The 9,231-nt window shown below is 34.8% G+C and overlaps 1 annotated feature.

The window, feature by feature from the left end:
- Positions 8,195–8,791: an enhancer, noted in NCBI's record as "OCT4-NANOG hESC enhancer chr1:34861492-34862088 (GRCh37/hg19 assembly coordinates)". NCBI's record gives its function as "activates a minimal SCP1, AML or CMV promoter by ChIP-STARR-seq in naive and primed H9 embryonic stem cells {active_cell/tissue: H9 hESC(naive and primed)}" and the evidence as "EXISTENCE:reporter gene assay evidence [ECO:0000049][PMID:30033119]".

Raw genomic sequence — 9,231 nt, forward strand, 5'->3', positions numbered from 1 at the left:
AGAGTTAACGACGTACTTAACGGTGAGAAACTAAATGCTTTGCCTTTAAGATAAAAAATAAGAATTTCCTCTCTTACCACCCTGATTCAACACCATACTGAAAGTCCTAGCTAATGAAATAAGACAATAAAATGAAAAACATGCTTACAGATTGGGAAGGAAGAAAGAAAACTGCCTTTGTTCACAGACAGCATGATTGTCTATGTAGACAATCCCAAAGAATCAACAACAACAACAAAAACTCTTGGAACTAATAAGCAATTATAGCAAGGTTTCGTAAAAGGTTCATATACAATGTCAAATTACTTTAATATATACTAGCAAAAAGCAATTGGAATTTGAAATGTAAAATAATATTATTTACAGCAGCCCCTCCACACATTAAATACTTAATAAATCTAACAAAATAGGTACAAGATCTATATGAACAAAACTATAAAATTCTGATACTGTTGAATTCTATTTGCTAATATTTTATTAAAGACTTTTGTGTCTATATTCATGAGGGATATTGGTCTGTGGTTTTCTTTTTTTAATTTTTTTTTCTAGAGACAGGGTCTCCCTATGTTGCCCCAGCTGGAGTGCCATGGTGCAATCTTGACCTTACTGCAGCCTCAAACCCCTGGACTCAATCCTCCCACTTTAGCCTCCCTAAAAAATCTGGCTATTTATTATTATTATTATTTATAGAGACAGACTCTTACTGTGTTGTCCAGGATGGTCTCAAACTCCCATGCTGGTCTCTCAAAGTGCTGGGATTGCAGGAATGAGCCTCCACCCCCAACACAGTTTTCTTTTTTTATGTTTTTCTCTAGTTTTGGTATCAAGGTAACACCAGCTTCATGAAATGAATTGAAAAGTGTTATCTCTTGTTTTCTGCAAGAAATTGTGTAGAATTTATTGAATTATTAAAGAATTATTAAAATAATGAAAGAATTATAATTATAATATAAATATTAACATAATTATAATATAATATATTATAGTATAATTAACATAATAATTATAATATAATAATTATAATATAATATAATTGTTATAATATAAATAATTAAAGAATTATAATTATAATGTAAACATAATTAAAGAATTATTCTTTGAATATTTGGCAAAATTTCCAATGAAATTATCTAGGCCTAGAAATATTTTTTGGCAGCTTTAGAATTAATTATTTAGCTACAGGCCTATTCAAGTTATCCATCTCATCTTGAGTGAGTTATGGTAGTTTATGTTTTTCAAGAAATTGGTCCATTTTATCTAAATTGTCAAATGTTTATGAATAATATTCACAGTACTGTTCACAGTGTTTTTATTTTTCTTTTGATGTCTGCGGAGTCTACAGTGACATTCCCTCTCTTGTTCCTGATATTAGTACTCTGTCTTGGCTTCCTTTCTTTATCAGTTTTGTTAGTGGTCTGTCAATTTTATTGATATTTTCCAAAAAAGCCTTTTCTTCCATGGATTTTCTGTATTCTTTTTTTCTTTTTGACTTTATTAATTTCTGTTCTTTATTATGTTCTTCCTTCTTGCTTTGGGTTCATTTTGCATATTCTCCCCTGGGTTGTTGAAGAAAGAACTTAGATTACTGATCTAAAACGTTCCCTCTTTTCTAATGTGTACATTTAGTGATATAAATCTTCCTCTCATCACAGCTTTATCTGTGACCCACAAATTTTTATATGCTGTATTTTCATTTCTGTTTAGTTTAATGTTTTCAATTTTTTTTCCTTGAGATTTCCCTTTTGACCTATGAATTATTAGTAGTATATTGTTTGGCTTCCAATGTTTGGATATTTTTCTGTTGTCTTTCTGTTAATGATTTACAGCTTGAGTCTATTATGGTTGGAAAACACACTGTATGGTTTCAATTGTTTTAAATTTGTTGAAGTTTGTTTTATGACCCAGGATATGGTGTATCTTGTTATCTGTGGACATTTTAAAAGAATGTGTATTGTGCTGTTGTTGGATGGAGTGTTCTATCAATAATTAGATTCTATTGTTTGATAATATTATTGTGTTCTTCTATATTCTTGTTGATTTTCTGTCTAGTTGTCCTATCAATTATTAACAGAAGGGTGTTGAAGGTCCAGCCATAATTATCAATTTGTCTATTTTCCATTTCAGTTACATTAGCTTTTCCTTCACATATCTTTATAGTTCTCTTATTTTGTGCCTATGTATTTATGATTTGTTATGTCTCCTTAGTGTATTGACTCTTTTATCATTATATAATGTCCATTATCAGCTCTGGTAATTTTATTTGCTCTGAATCTACTCTATATGATATTAATATAACCACTCCTGCTTTGCTTTAATGTTTGCATAATATATCATTTTCTATTTCTTTTCCCTTCAACCTGCCTATATTGTCATATTTGAAATGAGTTTCTTGTAGACATCACATAGTTAGATCATACTTTTTAATCCACTCTGCCAGTTTTCTCTTTTAATTGGTAAATTTAGACCATTTACATTTAATATAATTATTGATATGTCAGGGCCTAGGTCTGCGATTTTATTTTTTGTTTAGTGCTGTTCTATTTTTTGTTCTTTTTCTTTTTTCCACCTTCCAATTGGCTACTTGAATATTTTTAGAATTATATTTTTATTTTTATGTTGTTTTTGTTTATTTATGTGTCACTCTTTGTATAGGTTTTTAAATTGTCACTCTAGGTATTACATTGTGTATACATATCTCACCATATTCTACTGGTGTCATCATTTCATCAGTTTAAGTGAAATATAGGAGCCTTACTTCCCTTTATGGCCCTTGACCCTCTCTCATTTGTAATATACATTGTCTTAGATATTTCTTCTATATACATTGAAAGCCACATCAGACACTGTTATAATTTTTTGCTTCAACTGTCAAATGTAATTTTAGAAACTCAAGAAGAGAAGAAAAATCTATTGAACTTGCCCATTTTTTTGTACTACATTCTTGCTTCCTTCTGGATGTTCCAAATTTCCTTCTTTTATCAGTCCCTTTCCGTTTAGAGAACCTCCTTGAGCAATTATTTTAAGACATTTCTGCTGGTGACATATTGTCATAGTTTTCTTCATCTGAATATTTCTTAATTTCTCTTGAATTCCTAAAAATCAGTTTCACTGTCTATTCTGGGTTGGCAGTTCTTTTCCTTCAGCACTTGAAAAATGCTATCCCACTTTCTTCTGGCCTCCCTTGTTTCTGCTGAGAAACCTGTAGTCATTTGAATTTTTTTCTCTTACAAATAAGGTATCATTTCTCTTCAATGTCTTCAATATTTTTCTTTTAGTTTTTAGAACTTTGACTATGATGTCTTAGTGTGAAATTCTCTGGGTTTATTTTGTTTGGGGTTTGCGCAACTTCTTGAGTCTGATGTTTTTTGTTTCTGCCAAATTTGGGGAGTTTTCAACCATTATTTCTTTTAGTACTTTTTCACTCTCACTTTCTCTCACCTCTCCTTCCAATATTCCTGCAACATGAATATTATAGTTGCACAGGTCCCTGAGGCTCTGCTTATTTATTTGTAATCTGCTTTCTCTCTGTTGTTCAGATTGGGTAATTTTTGTTATCATCTTTCAGGTCACTGATTTCTTCCTTTTTCTCCACTTCATTCTGTTGTTGAGCCCATTAGTAAGTTTTAATTTTAGTTATTCTGTGTTTTAGTACAATTTGGTTCTACTTTATATCTTCCATTTCTTAGTTGAGAATTTCTATTTTCCACTTGCTTGAAGTGCATACATGATCACTCTTTGGAGCATTTTTTAGGATGGCTGCTTTAACATTTTTGTCAGATGATTCTAACCTCTCTTGTCATTTCAGTATTAGCATGTATTGATTGTCATTTTTTATTCAGTTTGAACTTTTCCTGGTTTGGAGTATGACAAGTAATTTTCTCTTGAAACATTTTGGGTATTGTACTATGAATCTTATTTAAATCTCTTTTAACTGGCTTCTTCTGACACTTAGCTGCCAGGAAAAAGGGGTTGGGGCCACCTTGTTACTGCCAGGAGGGGATAGAAGTTCAGGTTCCCAATCCAGCCTCCATGAGGGTGTGTCCCTCATTACTACTGAAAGATTGGGAGTCCTGGCTCCCCACTAGGTCTCCACTCATACCTTCCTGGCTCAGAAGGGTAGGGGTGCCTTGTTACTGTCCCCCAAGTGACCTCCACTGACACCAAAGAGGAAGTGGTGGCCTTCTTACTTCTGGGCAGTGGTGAAAGTCCTGTATCTCCACTAGGCTTCGTCTGAACCACTTCAATGGGAAAGGGGAAAGGCATCTAGTTAGTGCCAGGTGGCGGTGGATGTACAGGTTATCCAGCTGGTTTCCATTCACACTGCAGGGGGTCAAGGGCTTGTTACCATCTGTCATGATGAAAGTCCCAGCTCCCTACTTGGCTTTCTCTGACACTTCCCCCACAAGGGTGTTGTGGTCTTCATTATAGACAGTAAAGGATAAAAGACTAGGCTCCCTACTTAGCTTTTGCTGGCATGGGTGTGGGTGACCCACAGCTTTTTTGTGGTGTTTGGCTAGAGTAGAGCAGTTATTGTCTAAACGTTTTTTGTCATGCTAGCCAGCCTCTTTCCTGGTCCTTTGCCTAGAGAGTAAGTTTTTGTTTGGGCTTTTTGTTTGTTTGTGGCTTTTTTTTTTTTTTTTCATCAGTGCCATTTTCTGAGTTGCTGGCTTCTTCAGCTCCAAGTCTGGGATATATAGGCAAAAATTTAAAATTTACAGAAACAATAAGAAACTCACCATTGGTGAGGTCCTAAGGTCCTCATCCAGCCTGCTTCTTTCTCTCTACCTTTAGGAGTGTTCTTACATTTGTTTTATGTATAACATCCAGGGTTATTAGTTGTACTTAGTGGCAGGAATAGGGAAAAGTACTTTTATTCCATCTGCCCAGAATGTAAGTCCTCAAGTTATCTTTTCAATATATAAAACAAATCACATTACTTCCCTGCTTAAAATGCTCCAGTGGGTTCCCATCAAACCTAAAAATCACATCCCTTCCTCTGATCTGCACGTTCATGAACTGCCCTGTACTCACCTCTCCGGCCTCATCTCTTACTTCACTTTCTCTCGCCCACTCAACTCTAGCCACGGCGACCTTCCTTGTCTTTCTCAATATCCACACTTGTTCTACATTAGGACCTTCACACTAGTGCCCCTGCTGCCTGGAGTGATTTCTTCCATATTTTCAGATTGCATTGTAAATATGGCCACTGCAAATACACCTTCCTGAAAACCCTATCCCTATCATATTCCACGTAAACTTGTTTTTCTGGGTAGCTCTTATTTCTATACATTGCACACTAATTTGCTTGCTTACTTCCTCATTAGAATATCAACTCCATAGAAACAGGGGTTTTGTCTGTCTTGTTAACTTCTGTATCCCATCCTCAGACCCTAGAGCAGTACCAGTGTGCTGTAAGCCTCGCACAAATAATTGTTAAAAGCAATGAATGAACAAATCTGCCCGTGTCAAGCACTTATGTTCTGCCTATGCCTAGAAAAGACAGATCAGAACCAGTAAAGAGAGGAGATGCAGAAGAGCCAATAACCAGGGTTGTGACCCAATTTTCCCTCAAGTCTAGTGGTCAGGTAAAAAAAATGATCTATTAGTAATATAAGTTAAAATAGATAAAACATGTTTAAAGCTTGTAAATTAAAAAAAAAATCCTCTGCAGAATTACATTTGGGCCAAATAATAGCAAATGCGGAAATCAATGAAAACAAAAACACTATACGTAAAAACCTCTGTTTTACAGCAAAGTCAGACTCAGAAATTAATTGTTCATTTTTTAGTCTCATATAATTTCATTTATCTGATTACAAAATAATACGCTCTCATTGTTTGCAGAAAACAGAGAAGCACAAACAAAATAAAAACTGTGAATAAGCACTGGTAAGACTTTGGTCTATTTTCTTCCTATCTTTTTTTCTCTATGGAGACATAGATATATATTCACAGAAATATGGATTTTTTTTTACCTAATTTGTATTTGTAATTCAGAGAAAGAATGAGATGAGAATCTGGTATCTTATCTACTTGGGAAACCATTAAGACAACCATTGAGAATAAATTGTGTCCTCGTGTTGGGTGCTAAGAATAGGTAAAAAATGGACGAAGCAAAGATTGTTAAAGAATCAGAGGGTCTGCATGATTTGAGTAATTAATGAGAGAAATAATAAATTGTCATCCACTTCAGCCTCTTAGTTACTTTAAATTATTCAATTATTTAAAAATCAAGTAAATGAAGTGAGCATTAAGTTTAAAAACATAAGAAAATATCTTAAGACATGCCTGATAGCATTAAACAGGAACTCTAGCCCAAGGGTAAGATAAGAGTTATATAAAAATAGAAAGGTATCCTCATGGAAGTACGTGGTAGGGAAGCATAGTCAGACCTCATGGAAACCAGAGGGATAAAACGTGGCTCGACTGTCCACCTTCATCTCCCCAGGATTACATGGCTCTTGGTTCATGCTTTTCTCCACACACGTGTCTTTCTTTCTATCAGTTTTCACACCTCAAGCTGATATCCTTCTTTCCCTTGATTTCAGCTTGCATGGGGCTTTGCTGGTGGCAATATTGGTCCATATACACTCTGACTTTGCTTATTGGCTCCTTACAGTTAACATCACAGTCTTTGGGGTTCTTTTTATTATTATTATTATTTATTTTCTTTTCTTTTTTTTTTTTTTTTTTGAGACAGAGTCTTGCTCTGTCGCCCAGGCTGGAGTGCAGTGGCGCGATCTCAGCTCACTGCAAGCTCCGCCTCCCAGGTTCACGCCATTCCCCTGCCTCAGCCTCCCGAGTAGCTGGGACTACAGGCGCCCGCCACCACGCCCGGCTAATTTTTTGTATTTTTAGTAGAGTCGGGGTTTCACCGTGTTAGCCAGGATGGTCTTGATCTCCTGACCTCGTGAACCACCCTCCTTGGCCTCCCAAAGTGCTGGGATTACAGGCGTGAGCCACTGTGCACGGCCGTCTTTGGGGTTCTTAATTGCACTTCGAGTGAGTAAGACTCTAATAATGAATCCTACCTTTTGGAAGACCTTTGCCTGCGTCAGCCAATTATCTCTGACTAGGAAAGGGGCCAGAGTTACATGGACAAGGGACACTATTGGCAAGGATAACAGCAATAGAAACCCTAAGTAACTAAGAAAGAAAAATATAAGTGACAAAATAAGAAAACCTAAACCAGTAAAGCCAATCAAAAACAAATTCAAATTAACAAAATTAAAATCAGAAAGCTAATATAACAACTGACATAAAATAATTTTAAAAATTATAAAAGAGTATTATCCAGAATTGTCAGATAATTTGAAACCTCAATAAGGTAGAAAAAAAATGTCCTTAAAGACATGGCATTCTAAACCTGATGCAAGAAAAAAATGGAAAACAGTGTTAGATTTAACCTGAAGATTATTTACAAAGGCCATAAAAATGTGCTGCTAATTATTCCTCATACGAATGATTTTTGTGTGCTATAAGCTATTCCAAAGCAAGAAAAATTTTTAGGGTGACTATATTAGTCTATGAGGTCAGTATGATACAGAGTCTGAAATCTGATAAAGATATAGCCACAAAGCAAAATCTATGCCAACGTAATATTTGAATACAAATAGAAAATATTGAAATAAAATATCAATAAGTAAAATCAGCCTTACATTAAAGGAATAATGTACCAGGAACATATATGATTTATTCCTGCAAAATAAAGGTGGTTTATAGTGAAGAAATCTATTCACATCAGCCATACTTGGTAATAACATATGCTGTTCTAAAAGCTCTTAACAGTTATTAATATTGCCTGTTCTACTTATTTATGCACACATTACTTGTAAACACAATTAACTATCATATTCCTACCAGATAAAACACTTAATGAGTTCGGAAAAAAATTTTGAGTCATGCAGTGTTGTCTGTGACTAAATATTCGTTTCCAAGGATACAAGTAGATCTGTCAAATGTCTGCTCATGTAACAGTCACAGAATCATATACAAGAAATCCTTTTCAGTTCAAAATAGGTAAGTTATTTAACATTACACATTGTAGAAATGCTAAGATTAATTTTCAAATATTAAGCAAATAAATACTCAAATGCATTAAATTATTTTAACTAATACTTGTTGCTAGCCATCTATTATTGTCAGTTTAGAAGTTAATAGAAGTAGTTTTCACTTCATCACTTGGTTCTTGTCCATTCACTGGCTGGAGTACTCACATAACCTCCAGGCCCAGATAAACCTTGTCTAAATTTTCCTGCTGGGATGGTCAATTTGATGTGTCAACTTGACTGAACTAACGGATATCCAGATAGCTGGTAAAACATTATTTCTGGGTGTGTCTGTGAGGCTGTTTCTGGAAGATATTCACATTTGAATAAAGAAGATCACCCTCATCAATGTGGTGGGCATCATCCAATCCACTGAGAGCCCAAATAGAGCAAAAAGGCAGAGGAAGGGAAAATGTGCTCTCTGCTTGAGCTCTGTTATCCACCTTCTCCTCCTTTGTTCTCGCTAGTTCTCAGGCCTTTGAGCTTGGACTGGAACAATACCACTGGCCTTCCAGACTGCAAATAGCAGATTGTGGTATTTACTGGCCTCCAAAATTACATAAGCCAATTCTTATGTTAAATGGGCCTGTTGTGGGGTGGGGGGAGGGGGGAGGGATAGCATTAGGAGATATACCTAATGTAAATGACGAGTTAATGGGTGCAGCACACCAACAGGGCACATGTATACATATGTAACAAACCTGCAGGTTGTGCACATGTACCATAGAACTTAAAGTATAATAAAAATATATATATATAAAAAATAAAAATAAAATAAATCTCCTCTTATATACCCTATTTGTTCTCTTTCTATGGAGAACTCTAAGATACCTACCATTTACCTTATGTGTAGAGATTACAGGCAGAGCAGGAAAAGGACAACAGGAACAAAAATCCAAAGGAAATCAAAAGAAATGATTAGATAATGCACACATCATTTCAATAGTTAAGCAAGAAACAACATAATCATTTCAATGGGTGACACAAAGTATTTAATACAATCTAACATCTATTCCTTATGTCAAGAATTTTTAAAAAGGGACAGAAATGTCCACTTTTGTATAAAAAATAATACCCATTGTACACAAAAACCCAATTAATGACAATTATAAAAACGTATCAACTTTAAAATAAGCAACAGAACAAATATGCCAGATAAGCTTTTAATAATTTATTATTGTGG

Source organism: Homo sapiens, chromosome 1 (genome assembly GCF_000001405.40).
Source record: "Homo sapiens chromosome 1, GRCh38.p14 Primary Assembly".
Classification (NCBI taxonomy): domain Eukaryota; kingdom Metazoa; phylum Chordata; class Mammalia; order Primates; family Hominidae; genus Homo; species Homo sapiens.